The sequence below is a fragment of the Homo sapiens genome, chromosome 4 (genome assembly GCF_000001405.40).
Source record: "Homo sapiens chromosome 4, GRCh38.p14 Primary Assembly".
In the NCBI taxonomy this organism is placed as follows: domain Eukaryota; kingdom Metazoa; phylum Chordata; class Mammalia; order Primates; family Hominidae; genus Homo; species Homo sapiens.
Genome location: NC_000004.12, coordinates 176,122,489 through 176,138,829, shown reverse-complemented (window position 1 = coordinate 176,138,829; position 16,341 = coordinate 176,122,489). Strand labels below are relative to the sequence as shown.

At 33.8% G+C, this 16,341-nt stretch overlaps 1 protein-coding gene across 12 annotated transcripts in view; it reads right to left on the bottom strand.

Annotated features, from left to right (window-relative positions):
- Nucleotides 1-16,341, bottom strand: part of WDR17 (WD repeat domain 17) — a 116,975-nt gene that overhangs the window by 43,986 nt on the left and 56,648 nt on the right. For 9 of the 12 annotated variants that reach the window (NM_170710.5, NM_001378103.1, XM_047449569.1 and 6 more), the window contains 5 exons: nt 13,475-13,726; nt 9,970-10,092; nt 7,092-7,276; nt 3,554-3,722; nt 1,219-1,310 (listed from right to left, as the gene is read on the bottom strand). In NM_170710.5, coding sequence (NP_733828.2) covers nt 1,219-1,310; nt 3,554-3,722; nt 7,092-7,276; nt 9,970-10,092; nt 13,475-13,726 — 821 coding nt within the window. Of the gene's footprint in view, nt 1-1,218; nt 1,311-3,553; nt 3,723-7,091; nt 7,277-9,969; nt 10,093-11,852; nt 11,925-13,474; nt 13,727-16,341 lie in introns of all 12 variants that reach the window. The other 3 variants (NM_001350727.2, XM_017007690.3, XM_024453885.2) reach the window with 1 other exon arrangement.

Sequence of the window (16,341 nt, the reverse complement as noted above, 5' to 3'; positions counted from 1 at the left end):
ATGTTGGGAAAGACATAAAGAAATACAAGACATGTCCTTGATACTAAAATGCTGGGTTTCCACAATCAGGCTGGAAGTGTTTAGGTACTAGTGGGCAGATATGTGAGATTCCAAGTTGCCAAGATGCCATAAGAAGAAATCAACTGATCTAATGAGTAAAGATATACAATTTTTGAATCTGGGCCATAAGTTTCATTTTTAGGCTCATCTCTTCTTATAATCCACTATTTATTATGGAATAAATTGTTGTTTTGGTGATGGGAGGGAAGATGGCAGGTTGGGGCATTGCTAAACTGAAAGGGTATTGTGTTATATGTAGAGAAAGGAAAGGATGTAACTTTTATAATCCTTTGTCAAAGTTTCCTTTTTTGAGTGCAAAATTGCTCACAGTGGTCTCTAAAGTTTTCCTAAAAGCTCTGCATTTGCTACGCTACTACAAGTAGTGGGGGAGCAGGACTACTAAGGAGCATCTTCAAAGGGATAATACTCTCTGTATAAATGTTTTTAAAACCCCAAATATATAGGCAATTTTCAAAGAAATTATATACTTAATAAGCTTCAATAGTAATCATCTAAAATAAAAGAAATTTCAAGACACAGACAATCTTAGATCATTTTCCCCTGATTCATACCTAATATTTTGTACTCAGATCATATGTATTTTTCAAATATTAATGGAACTCAGTAAAATATGGGATGACAATATAACTCCAAGACAAAGGAGAAATAAAATCTGTGATGCTACAAATACAAGAGAGCAGGTTCTAAGGCTCTGCACGGAATAATTGAATTTGAAAACTGGAAGAAAATCTAAGAAACTATATAATCCACCTTCAACATTTTTTAGGTGAAGAAACAGGTTTAGGGCAATAAAGTGATTCTCCTTATGTCAAGAGCTAATTAATAACAGAACCAGGACTATAATTTGGGACTTGCTCTGAGTTTAGTCTTCTTCCTATTATTTTGTATTTGCCCAGATTTTGTGGAGGATGACTCAAAAATTCCTTTGACTCTCTACTGCAACTTCAGGTGACTCAGCTACAATTTTCAGAATTCATTTTAGTATGTGAGTATTCTCTAGGATTTTCTTCTAATTGAGAGAACACACATACCACCTGATTATTAAGTGATATTATATTAAGAAATAAAAATATTTACAAAATAAATACAAAATAGTATAAAACATTATATTATTCAGTAGCAATAAATAAATCTTACCTCATTAAATCGTTGTATAATTTTGCCCTTTTGAACATTCCAAATAAAAGCACCATTTCGGGAAGTTCCCCCAGCAATACAATTTAAACCACCTTAGGAAACAATTTGTTAGACATTATACTAAATGTTTCCCACAAATGTAATTCTTTTAAAAAATGTAACTTGTGAAAATGTAAGAACTGTGATTTGCAGACTAGTTCTTTAATTTTTTATAATTGAAATTATTAACTGTATAAAATTATAGATAAAATAATAAAGTTAATGTATCCATTACACAGCTTCAACAATTATCAAAATAGGGCCAATCTTGTTCTGTCTATAGCATCTGCTGAATTTATTTGGAGTAAATCTCTGACAGCATATTATTTCATCCATAAAAACTTCAGTATGCATCTCTAAAAGACAGGGACTTCTTTATTGATCAAGGCCAAACTATCATGAATATTAACAATAATTCTTCAATATTATCATATATTCAGTCAGCATTCATACTTCCATGATTATCTAGTAGTATTTTAATGGTTATGAAAGTATTTCTATGAACAGATCACAGGAAAAATACAGTTTCTCCATAAAAACATAAACAATGCTTTCTGTTTTAAGAAATAAAAAAATTTGTGAAAATAAAACTACTGCTAAGTGAGTAGTAGATGGCCAAGGATTTAAATAAGTGCCTTTTGTAAGACAGTGATAGAAGAGGTTTTCTCCATCAGAACAAAGGAGCAGCTGTCATCTGCTATCTAGGAATAAAAATATGAAGAAACTACTTAATGATAAATGATTATACACACTAAAAATGTTCTCATCATATTTCTAACATTTTTAAACTGCTCTCCTTTTGGGGTTCTTAAATTATTGGGGATATGTTTCAAAATTTATTTGCATTTTTTTTCTTTTCGTCTGGTATCTACACTAAGATACAGAGGAAATTATGTAATTATCTATATCCTACTCTACTTCCATCCTTGTCAACCCTCATTTATCTTTTAAATATCATCCCCACTTACCTCAAAGTCATGATGCACCAGTAATCACATAACAGAAAATGACAGAATTTCCATTTTCTAACATTTTTACTTTCTTGATGCAAATTCTCAATGTAGAGAGTGAAAGAATGCTATAAGTCAGATTAGATCTTCTGTGTTATGATTTGAAACAATAGTTTTTACAGTCATAAGTTTTATTTATGTTTTATGTTTCAGACAAATACTTTTGTAGGATGAAGAGTATTCAACTAATATGAGCTCTAGTGCAAGGTGACTGCACTGGCTGGTCCAATTCCTATATTGCTAGCCAAGGTAACCTACAGTGGAGGTGCATACTGCAATAATCAACAGAATAGGCTCAGTTATGTTCTGCTTAAAGGACAAACATTGTCATTAAGAGTTGTAAGTAAAACCTTTTTCTGTAATTCTCCTCATTGTAGGAGATGAAGGATACATAAAGCAGTGGTCCTTAACCTTTTTCGTATCATGAAACTCTGAAAATCTGAGTACTAAGATACTCTTTGACAGATATAGGCGTATATACACACACACTAAAAATTATTCATAAATTTCTCAGAGATTCCCAAACTCTCTGATGAAATATAAAACCCTTGGAGGCCCAAATATTCAAAGTTAAGAATCCCTGTGTATGAAGAAATAATTTTAAAAATAAGGATGAGCTACATCCACATTACATGTAGTTATTGAATTAATATATTACTATTAAGCCAAATAAGTAAACCATTACATATACTTTAAAAGTGAAAAATTCATTTAGGTGTGTGAAATTATTTGTTATGGGGAAATAATGTTTTGGGAGAAAATGTCAGAGGTTTCATAGGACATCTCTCCTTTATATGTACAGCAAGGTATAAGGTGGCATCTAAGATCAGAGATAAGATCTTATGATGGCATAAAAGTTCTTCAATACTTCAAAGGTGGAGTTAATACAGAATTACATGGTTACAAGTGAACTGTTACTTGATATATAACCATAAACAGGATTTACATTAAAACTTTCCAGAAAACCTCTATCATGTAAATTGTATTATACTTCTAAAGGCATAGCTATAGAAATACAACTTATATTAGACAGGTAAAGATAATCCTGATTTACTGTGGTTTTTCTACATGACTTGTTATATAGAGGAAACCAGGAATCAAAGTGCCTCTGCAGATAGACTCTTCTTAAACCTCGCAAAAAGAGAATCAACAAATATGTTCACACTAATTTGCTCTACATTCATTTAGAACAAGATGAGATCAAGAGGAAGAAAGTAACTCAAATGAAAATAAAACTTTAAAAAGCCATTTCATTGTATTCCTAATTTCAATAAAATATCTCTTACCTGGAGCCCAAGAAAGGGAATAAATAACACCTTCATTACCCGGGGATGTGTACACTGCTGTTAATGTGTTTATATCCCAGACTTTTATAGTGCCATCAAATGAAGCTGTTGCTAAAAGATTAGGATCGTCAGGTTTGAATTTGCAGTCAAAGATAGTTTCCACATGTCCCTAGGAATATGGCATAAAAAAGTCATAATTATTGAGGAAAATTCACATTATTAATAGATGAACCACAATGTTTACTCAAATTGACACATGTATACGGTTTTCCAAATATTAATGCAAAAATATATAGGCAAGAAAAACAGAAAACTGGAATCACTACAGTGATTGAATGTTCTCTGTGCCATTACTGTATTATTTTGTACAGACCTAGATTTTAGTCAACCACGGTTCCTCAAATCAGCAACTAAACTCAAAGATGTTCAGAAGTCTCACTTTTCAGTTTCAATTCAGTGCAAAAGATATTTTCTATTTTTATTAAACTTACAGGATACTATGCTAGAAATCTATAAAGCAATTAACTCTTAATAGTTACCATATGTCATCTGGCACTACAATAGAAGACCAAGATGAAACTCAAACTAAAAGTCATTTAATGCAAATATTCCTTTTTTATACTAATAACGTACTCCAAAAGCACCTCATAATTTTGGCAGAAACAGAAGAATCAGGCATAACCCCAATTGTTAATGAGCCTTGTTCCAAAATTTTCTAGCAAGTCTATTCTTTGGAACCTGAATACTTGTTCCCATTACACAATGATTTGGATCCCAAACACCCACAAGACTATAAAGTGGTATATGCAGATACATGTAAACATACACCAGTAAAGTAGTGCTTAACTACTGTGGGCCTTTGGGAAAATCCGTTAAGAGTCCAACATAAATAGCCGGAATTACAACTATTCTAAATGCTGGGGAATGGGAATCGAAATTTCTACTTTAAGCAAACGAAACTAACATTTGGGATCTAGAGACGGAGTTGAAGTACAAAGACAGGGTTTTCTAGTCCTCAACAAATAGAATAAGGGTAGAGAAGAAAGTCCTTAAAACTCTGTGTACTTCCATTAATACCAGAAATCACAACCCTTAGGAAACTACAAAAGTACTCGTAAAGTTTCTCCTTTAGGTGGAGGTAAAGGAAAGAAAAATCTCAAGGGTTAGCAAGAAGTAAAAATGTTGTTAGAACCACTGGTTCACCTGGCTGAAGCTGTCCTATGTGGTCATTTCCAATGTTAGGAACATAATCCAGGCAGGGACTTACATGCAGTTTTAAATGTTATTTCACTGCTATGCCTTAAAATTTTATTTTTTGAAATAAGAAAATTCACATAGCAAGAACAAAATTGTAAATGTTTCTTCTGTGTTTTCTTCTTACCAAAAGGAAGGTGAGTAAGACGAGGAAAATTTTGTGGCATTTTTCTTAATTTTAATGGAGCAAATATTCATATGGAAGTACACCTTTTAGAATGTTTATTAATAAGATTTTTAAAATTATGTAAGATTTTAAAAAATATTAATAATATTTTTCTCATCCTATGTAATCTGGAATCTTTGCAGATGCTTCATACATACAGCAGTTCAGAGTTGTTTCTTCTGGTAACACTTCGAGAAATTTCAAATTTGGATCTGTGTTAAGAAAATTGAAACTATAAGGAAAAAATGACTGCCTCCCTCTGACTGGCAGACATTTTAAAGTGAGAAAAGCAACTGAAATAATTTATAATCAAGCGGCTTTTAGTATTTAGTATTCGGCATTTATTAGAATTATAAATTAACATAGATTTTAAGTAAAACATACTTTAATACGAAGTGTCATAGAAAATTTATTGAATTTAGATTGCATGACTTCTCTTCTACTAACACAACTTTTTTTTTTTTTTTTTTTTTTTTTTAGCTTAGTAGAAAGACCCAGATTTTTATTTAAGGCAGAATTTACTTTTTAGATTAGGAGTTAATGGTGGAAGTGATTTTCCTTTCTCTTTTCTTCTTCTTCTTCTTTTTTTTTTTTTTTTAGAGAGAGGAGACCAAGGAGAACCACAGAGGACTTTGCTTGTAATTAAATAGTGAAGTGGTAAAAAAAAAAAAATAAAAATAAAAAATTGTTTTTTTTTTCTTCGAATGGTATATATGGCACTTGGGGCATGTGTGATTCATGTTAGTATATTTTTTCTTTTTTCTTTTGAGTTGCTGCAATGTAATTGTCTCCTGAACTGATTTTAGGAATTGGTGAGCTAAGCACAGTTTTATTCAGAAATGAAGAATTGTCTTGTTGAAGACCCACTGCCAGATTTAGTGACTCAACCCAGTGCTGATGTAAAGCAACTCAGGACATATCAGCAAAATTCTACAGAAGTCATTCTGGTTGGTCTAGTGAAACAAGTGTAGGAAACAGTATATCCTGCTGTTCTTACTAGTTTTTTTTTATAGATTTAAGTGTATTCTTATGTTTTTCTCCCTTCCCTTTCATAAATTTGTTTGAAAACAAATGGTAATTTGAAGTATACAAAAAGTTTACCACACTAGGAAAGAGTTTATATAAAAAGAAAAGTTAAAGTGAAAAGAAAATTAAATCATCTTCAAATGAATATCTACAAAAGGAAAATTCAAAAATAATTAAGCTACAGATTATTTTAAAAATATTTTTGCTATAAATCATTTTTTCATTTGAGGATAAAATTAAACGAGCAGTCTTGAAAAGATACAATATTATTGATTCTTTCTCTCCCTTCAGTTACAAGGACAATTACATCTCTAGATTCTTTTTCTAAGATCAAAGGAAAATAATTAGCATTTAAAGGTTTCTTAAATGTCCAGATTAGTCTAATTCAAACCAGTGGAAAAAGACAGGGACATTTTTAGAAACTCTAAAGTAGGGAAAATTAAAGAGGATTGTTTTTGACAAATATTAATTACAACGCAGTATGTATTATTGCATGTCTTCATTCATTCATTCAACAAAATTTAATAGTCTTGCTATGTGGCAGATACTATATTAGGTAGTGGGGCTGTACCACAGAACACAACCAGACAAAAATGTGGGATCTCAAGGAGGTTGTATTCTATCTTATATAGGGGCTTAATTATCATAAAAACAGAATTCATAGAATCACTTAAGTATCATAGCGATTCAACAATAGAAACAAATCTTAGAAAACATAATCCAACGTTACTCAATTAACAAATGGGAACAATAAGGCTTTGAGCAACTGGCAGAGATCAACTTGTCCTTTCTCTTGAAAGGACATTCTATTCTCATTTTGCTTCCAAAATATACTACAGCTATGTAATTTTCCATTGTACATAAAATATAAGTAGACATTAAGACTTTTGAAGTATAGTGGTTAAAAGTTATTTTAGTAGTTTTATCATCATTCTATGCATTTTCTAAAATGTTTCAACCAGCTACAATAAATTTCTAGTATATTATTACTTACAAAAATAATTTCAAATAATATTCAGACAGGTAAAAGTAAAGATCATGGGTTTACACAAAAAACTATTATGTATAATAAAGGAATGACTACATACATACCAAGTCTCTAAGAAAATCCCACTTCTTAGCTCCCATATCATAAAGTCCAACTCCACCATCCAAGAAACAACACACTGCATGACCAGGAGGAAGAGAAAATGCTTGATTCTGTGTTAAAGTTGGGGGTGGAACTGCTTCGCTTGTTGAGGATGTATAATGATTTTTGGTTGGAGATTGGACTGAAACTAAAAATAGAAGAAAAAAAATCCTATTGGAATGAAACCACAGAGCTTAATTTAGAAAGATTCTTCATTAAAAAAAAAATCCAGAATCTGTACCAGTAAACCATTTAGGCAATGATCATATATTCTCCCACATAAGCAGTTCTTTGGGATTGCCAAAAAATGTAATATAAGCACAAAATTGGATATTATTTTAAAGTACAGATGGAGCAAATAGATGAAAATTAGTGTGTTGAGGAATCACAATCTGTTGTGAATATGTGGTTTCTTATCACCCTATAAATTAAAGCTCAGCATGATTATTTCTGAATTATAAACTTCCTTCAAAATACTGACATAATAGCTTATTCCCTCCTTCCACACACACAAACATATATGCATATAATTTTTTCTTTTAATATAAATAACTCTCTGCCAACAATTTCCAAGCCAGTGAAAATAATTTTTTTGAGATTATGCATAATTCATTTTAATTTATCATAAATTAAGAATCACAACACTATCTGACCTGCACTGGCATCTCAATTTTCTTTCTTCCTAGATGTTTTTTTGTTTGTTTTTTCTTTTTACTGTTTATAGACTTGGATTTCTCCTACTTTCAATTACATAAATATCACTGTGATTATTTTTATATATTATTTATCCCATATTTTGTCTTCTTCCAAAAAGCTCTTCCTTAGAATGTGAATCCAAATATTTTCTTGCAAACATAATCCAAAATAATGACACTACAGTAAATTATAAGACCAATCGATTATTAATTGTACACTGGAATATGGAAAATATTTCTCAGTTTTTTTTTTTTTTTTTTTGAGACGGAGTCTCGCTCTGTTGCCCGGGCTGGAGTGCTGTGGCATGATCTCGGCTCACTGCAAGCTCCGCCTCCCAGGTTGACGCCATTCTCTTGCCTCAGCCTCCCCAGTAGCTGGGACTACAGGCTCCTGCCACCACGCCCGGCTAATTTTTTTGTATTTTTAGTAGAGACAGGGTTTCACTGTGTTAGCCAGGATGGTCTCGATCTCCTGACCTTGTGATCTGCCCGCCTTGGCCTCCCGAAGTGCTGGGATTACAGGCATGAGCCACCGCGCCCGGCCATTTCTCAGTATTTTTAATATTAAAATACAATTTTTCTTAGTTCATTTATTATGGATAATATTCATTTCTCAGAATCTGAGAATTACAGAAAGTCCAAACTAGAATGAACTACAAATGACAAAAGAGGCATTTGGTAGCAATGAATTTGGTTCACTAAATTTCGTTGATATTTTGTTTAAAAATTAATATAATCCATCATTGGTTTTTCTAACACTTTAATTGACATTATAGGTGGGTTAGACAACTTTTATGCACCAATCTATTTGTAAATCATGCTTTTCAGAATTCAGCGAGTACGTTTATTTTTTAAAATTTCATTTTCACAATTGTTCTTTTTCCATACTTTCTGTTATATTAAATTGAAGGGAAAACCTAGAAGTCAAAGAAGAGGTAATCTGAAAGGAATTGCTCGAAAATGACAAGACTGGTATGTTATTCTTTGTATTTTCTGACTTTGTCTAATGGACATGGGCTACTTTTATAGTAAGAAAAAAAATGAAAGAAAAGAATCTGGTATTTCAGACATTCCATGACATGGCAGTTCAAAGCTTCTAAACAAATAAAGGAACTAACAATGACAAAAAAATTCCAACATCCCTAAACAGTAAGCCAGCATCCAGCATATTACTTCTCTAGTCCTAATATTTCTAGACCCTCCAGTTTCCAGGTTCTACATTTATTAGGGACTTCACAATTTTGTACAAGGGGTATAGGTTCAAATATAGAGATTTTCTACTACTTGCCATTGCCTACCAATTAGACACCAAAATAACATTACTTTGAATAGCCATTGCTAATTACTTGGTATATTATAAAGATAGAGTAAGAAGGAAACAATCACTCTAAACTTTTCATCACTGAAATCCCTTCCCCATGCTTTTAATGATGTGTTATACAGAATGGGAACACTACCAACCATGCAGAGTAATCATGATAGACTTAACTGGAAGTCTATTATTTTTCCCTTATATTTGAAAAAAATTCTAATTCTAAACCTCCCCCAAATTTCCAGATTTTTCCTTTTTATAAATTAAGTGTATTTTATTTTTTCTTAATTACAGAGGCAACGAATGATACAGAAAATATACACAGAAATAAAGAAGACACAGAAGATCCATAATACTAACTACTAACTTAGTGACAACTGGTATTCAAATATGTAATATGTATTCTAGATCCTATAATTTGAATATTTAGGTTGTTTTAACTTCGTTGTAAACTGTACAGATTTTAAATGAGCCATGTTTAAAACATAAATTCTCCCAGTTCAGATAATCTTATTTAATCCTATCACTCTTAATATTTCTAACTTATTTTCATCAGTATCATTGATTCATCTTTTCCATGTAGATAATCTGAAATTATCTAAATATTCTTACTTAGTAGCATTAAAAAATGTAACTTGACTCTAAATATTTTCAATTTAGTAACAGTAGATCTTGTGTAGCTTTGATGGATCCTTGAGCACATATATTGTCAAAGCCTTTTTTAAAAATTGCTTTTCAGTGGCATATAGTATTTGATATCTCACTATACCATTTTATTTGATAGAAAACACAATATTTTTTAAAAATTAAAATTTTGATAACATTTTTACTTACACTTTTTTCTTGGAGGAGAATTAAGTACATGTAAGCAGTGAAATCCTGTTTTCTTTAATTTAAGATTATCAATAGGTGTTGTTCTTGAAACATTCCAAATGCGTAAAACACCCACTTGAGAATCTAGTCAGATCAGGGAAAAAGCACATTTTAACAAGTTTTGTATGAAACTAAAATGCCTAGACATAAAAGTATAACAAAATTTCAACTGGAAATATTTTAGGACTAATTACTGACATCCTTTTAACAACAATACCATACAGTAATACAACCTAACAACCGAAATACTATTTAACCTTTAAATTTTTGGCATGTTTTACTATTTTTTTGCTCCAAAACCTTTTATAGGTTTAGAAACGGCCTGTTTTGGCAGCTTCCTCCAATAAAGACCATTATAATAACTCAACCACAAAAAAAGACCCTATTGACATATGCTTGTTCTAGGAAAGGCCAGCCACAGAAAACTCTCCATTTCTAACCTTAAATAATCAATCTTTCCACCTTTGAAATGTTTATAAACTGCTCCACTGTCCACTTTTAGCCATTAAGGATTGTCAAATATACCTGAAGACCAATTACAGTCTCCTTTCTTCCAAAATTCCCATCTTAATTACTGCTATGGAGAAAAGTCTGGCAGTTACACAAACGATTAAATATAGAATTACCATATGACTTAGCAATTCCTCTCCTTGAGAAATACTCAACAGAATTATAAGCAAAGGTCCATACCAAAACCTGTACATACATGTTCATAGCAGCATTATCTATATCAGCAAAAAGGTGGAAACAATGCGTCTGTCTATCAACAGAGGAATGGATAAACAAAACCTGCCATATCCATATAATGACATATTATTCAGCCATAAAAAGGAATGAAGTACTGATACATGCTATAACATGGATGAACCTTGAAAACTCTATGTTAAGTGAAAGAAGCCAGAAACAAAAGGCAACAGACTGAATGGTTCCATTTATATGAAATGTCCAGAAGAAGCAAGTCCACAGAGATAGAAAGTAATTAGCAGTTTATGCTTGCACATGTGTGTATCCGGGACTGTAGGGAGGCAGTAATGGAGAGTAACTGCTGATGAGTACAGGGTTTGTTGGGGGAATAATGATATGTTAATTAGATAGTGGTAATAATTGTAGAGCTTTGTGAATATACTAGAAACCACTGAACTGCATGCTTTAAAAATGGTGAATTTTATATGTGAAGCATATTTCAGTAATAGTAATAAAATACAAAACAATTTCCGTGCCTATTGGGCTGGGCATGATGGCTCATGCCTGTATTCCCAGCACTTTGGGAGGCTGAGGCAGGTGGATCACTTGAGGTTAGGAGTTTGAGACCAGCCTGGCCAACATGGTAAAACACCGTCTCTACTAAAAATAGAAAAATTAGCCAGGTATGGTGGCATGCACCACAGTGCAATCTCAGCTACTCGGGAGGCTGAGGCAGGATAATCACTTGAACCCAGAGGTGGAGGTTGCAGTGAGCCAAGATTGCACCACTGCACTCCAGCCTGGGTGACAGAGCGAGACACTGTCTCAAAAAAAAAAAAAAAATTCCATGCCTATTATTAATTATATCCTGAAAAGTTAAAGGCAATTAAGATATATAAATTAAGAATCCATCTACTTTCATGTGCAGTTGCCCCTTGTTATCCATGGGAGATTGGTTCCAGGACCTCCCACGGATAACAAAATCCAGGAATGCTCAAGTCTCTTACATAAAGTGGCATATTATTTGCATATAACCTATGCATATTTTCTCGTATACTTTAAATCATTTCCAGATTATTGTATTAGTCTGTTCTCACACTGCTATAAAGACATACCCAAGACTGGGTAATTTATAAAGAAAAGAGGTTTAATTGACTCACAGTTCTGCATGGCTGAGGAGGCCTCAGGAAACTTACAATCATGGTGGAAGGCAAAGTAGAAGCAGGCACCTTCTTCACAGGGCAGTGGAATGGAGTGAGGGCAAACAGGAGAAATGCCAGACACTTATAAAACCATCAGATCTCGTGAGATCTCACTCATTATCATGAGAACAGCATAGGGTAAACTGTGGCCCCCATGATCCCATTAGCTCCAGCTGGGTCCGGCCTTGACAGTTGGGGATCATGGCAATGACAATTCAAGATGAGATTTTTGGTGGAGACACGGTCAAGCCACATCACTTATTATACCTAATCCAAAGCCTACACATCACATTATTCACATGGGTTCAACATAGTACTTGTCACACTGCAAAGTCAGGTTTTGCTTCTTGAAATTTTGTGGAATTTTTTTCCCCTAACATTTATCATTCATAGTTGGTTCAATCCACTGATGCAGAACCCACAGATACAGGGTGGCGTCACTATTATGTTAAGTATTAAAGAAGTGAATAATTTATTTTAAAATTTTGAGAGGATAAAGAGTCTTTGCCTATTATTTTACGCTAAGCAAATATGGGAAGAATTTATACAGTAGCCAAAAACATTCTGTTCTTTCAGAGGTCTCTCTCTCTGAACACAATCAAATGGTAAAAGTAGAGAGTCATTTAGTTTCTAATTATTCCTCAATTCCCCCATCTTCCCATCCCCTATCACTACTTAGCTTTGCTAATTCTCTCATGACCTCTTGACTAGGAAAGCATGAAGGAGTATCCATTCAACCCACGGATCAGTGAGTGCTATAGTTTGAATGCCTCCCACAAAATTCTTGTGTTATAAACTTTATCCCCAATGCAACATTGTTAGGAGATAGGGTCTAATCAGAGGCAGTTAGGTCATGTAGGCTCTACTCTTATGAATGGATTAATATAGACAGTGTAGGAGTGGGTTATTTATTGTGAGAGTGGCTTTGTTATAAAAGCCAGCTAGGTCTCCCCTTGCTTTCATGCTCTTGTCCTCTCCTGCTTTCAGCAGCACAAAGTTCCTCACCAGATGCCTGTGCCATGCTCCTGGGCATCCCAGCCTCTTTACATTAGCCTTAAACTAATCTAAACTAGTTTATAGTTTAGATTACTATAAACTATAAACCTTTTATGGTTTATAGATTACTCAGCTTGTGGTATTCTGTTATAGCAGAATATTCTGTGGTATTCAGTTACAGCAACACAAAATGGACTAAGACAGTGAGGCTAATAAAGCTCCCATCAGGTAATTGTTTTTATGCTCAGTACCTTCACTGTCATCCTACTATGCCTGAAATGGAACTGTCTTTGTCTTTTGCACATACACAGACATGCTCACATGTGTGCACATATATAATATATTCCAAGGTATTTCCAGAAACCTGGCAGAGTGGACCTTATTTTTCATTTTTATTTGTCATTTCATTTTATCATTAATGACATACAATATAAATAAAAGTACACTAGTAATTTACTACAATAAATAATAATTGAGCTATTAATACATTTTACACAAAATCAACCTATAAAGGACAATTTCCTAAATTCAACGAAAGAATATATACACGTATTTAAAACTCTGGGTTATGGGGATTAGCTTACCTCCAGTTATAAACATCCCAGGAGCACTGGGAACCCAGGCTAAGCACTGTACAGAAGCTGCTGCACTGGGAAGATTAAATGTTGTTATGCAAGAAAGTGATTCAGAATCTACCAGGCGAATTCCATAATGCAAATTAACCACTAGAAGATAATCAGTAGATAGTGGGTCCCATTCCAAGGCCGTAACTGGATCCTCTTCATCTGTCCCTTCAAGAGATTCTGGTCTCAAAACATGTTTCTGATTTTTATTACCTGTTAAAATACAGAGATAATTATTTCCAAAAAACTTGCAGAAAAGATCAATAATTTAGATGATGCTAACTTTTTCCTTGTACAATATCTATCTCTGAGGGTATTGAAAATACAAATGTGGTGCTTATATGCAGAAGGCGTAACTGACATGTGAATGCAGAAAGATCTGTTTGTCCTAATGATGAAGGTCAGGCTCAATGCTCTGTTTTGGCAATTTCCAGTGCCTTGAATGTGTCTCCCATTTGTTACCGAAAAGCAGTAAGAAAATATACAGATAAATAACATACTCTGATCTTGTCAATAATTACAAATTTCACTGGGTTACAGCAGCATAGAAATAGGGAAAGTGCTTATTGAAATGAAGAATATCATATAGTGATTTAAAAGGATAAATGTTAGAGCTGGCTGACTGCCTGGTTCCGATCCTGTTCTGCTTCTTACTAGCTTTGCTGCCTCAGACAAGATACTTAATCTCCCTGTGCCTCAGTCTTGTGGTTTTTTTCTTTTTTTAATAATGGAGAAGATAACAATACTTATCTCACAGAGTTTTAAAACCGATTAAATGAATTTGATTAAAATGTTTAGAATAGTGGTGCACATTTTAAACAGCATCTTAGTATTTACTATTATTCCTTTCTCATTCGTCTTACCATTTGCCATAATTATAATTCACACCCAACCAGTAGTATAAATAGGGAAGCCAGAAAGATAGGGAGTTAAAACAAGACTAATTAAATAAAGCAAAGGATCATCAAACAAACTTCTTGTTCTTTGTAATTTATGTACACAACTGGAAATATGGAAAAAAAAATTCTGCTGAGATACCACATGGGAACTCCACTGGGCAAGTCCTCTCATTCTCAAGAGAGGCAGTGAAGCATCTAGTTAGAGAGACTGCGGCCTTAACAGAAAGTACCAATTAGTCATAAGTATCGTAAAGGAAGTGTGTTTCTTCTTTAAAAAGCACAATTGAAAGATAATACAACTCTTGCTGCAATCCCATAATTACAGAATTGAGACCAGAAATAAATGTCTCCTGTGTGTTTTTAAAGGGGAGACTATGATATCGTAAAATATATGTTTGGTTTTCATCCCTGTTTCCTGGCATTACAACTCCTAAAATCCTTGGAATCTCTACAGTGTCTTTTTGTATGCTAATGAGTTGACTAGGTAGCTGGTGGCCACTAGGTGGCTTCACAATGGGGACTGGTCACTGAAAGACCAAGGCTTGATTAGAGAGTTGGGACCTTCAGCCTCATCCCCCAATGTCCAGGGAGGGAAGAGGGACTGAAGGTTAGGCTGATCGCCAAGGGCCAATGTTTTAATCAATATGCCTATATAATAAAGCTTCTATAAAAACCCAAAAGAAGCAGAATTTGGGAGTTTCCAGAGAGCTGAGCACACGGAGGCTCCTGGAGGGCGGCATGCCTGGAGACAGCACGGAAGCCCCATGTCCTTTCCCATATGCCTTGCCCTTTTCATCTTTTCATTTGTATCCTTGTAATATTCTTTATAATAAGGTAAGAAAGTGTTTCCCTGAGTTTTGTGAGCTACTCTAGCAAACTAATCAAATGCAAGGAGGGGGCCACGGGAACCTCGATTTATAGCCAGTCATTCAGAAACACAGGCAAAATAAGCTGGGGCTTAACAACTGTCATCAGAAGAGAGGACAGTAATGGGGCCTGATCCCTCAGTGTGTGTGTTGTGACTCTATCTCCAGGTAGTGTCAGAATTGAATTGGAGGACGCTCAGCGAGTGTCTGCTGTAGAGGTGACCGCTTGCTTCATGTGTGGAGAAAGCCTCTCACACATCTAGTGTCAGAACTGTGCTGTGAGAGTACAGTAGGAGAAACTGAGTCTGTTTTTTCCACTAAGTAACAGTTATATAGAGAGTGTCATCAACAACATTCCTAAAATAAAACAAGGCAAATTTTATTAAGGCACATTCATGGAGTAATACCAAAATCAATTCAATTTAAACATGATTGTAATAAAGATTTTTAAAAAGGTTCTCCGATGAACTTGGCCTGAGAATACAATTTGAGATAGCTAAAGCAGTTTTCCAATTTTTTTGCCCTGGAATCTTCTGTTCATATGAGAATGTTTACAAGAAAATCCAGTAAATAATACAGGATAACATGGTGCTTTTCAGGCTGAAAGGGAGAAGAAGGCTTAAAGCTCAGCTGGATCATCTATGAAGCCCTCCTACCCTCAATACACACACATAAGTATACAAACATAGAAAGCACAGTTTAAAAATTACTGATTTAAAATGATGAACTACATTATCGTGGCTAGTTCTCATGAATATTTATTTTTTCTTCTGAGAAGGACTAGACAACAGAGATATTGAGGTCATAGGTTCCTGCAAGAACCTGGAGGAGAGAAATCCTATGTTGTAACGTAGGTATAGAACCATCTGTGGTGCCAGTAAGTCATCAAGAAGATAAGGTTAACAACTCATGAAAAGTAAGAAGCCTAGCTATACTGGTATTAATGCTAACAGTTTCAAACTCACAATCCAGAATGTAGTGTTAGAATTAAAAGGTAGTGATTCCTTCATGATCCATTCCCTCATGTATATGCAAAAGGAAAATACTTATCAGGACTGTATCT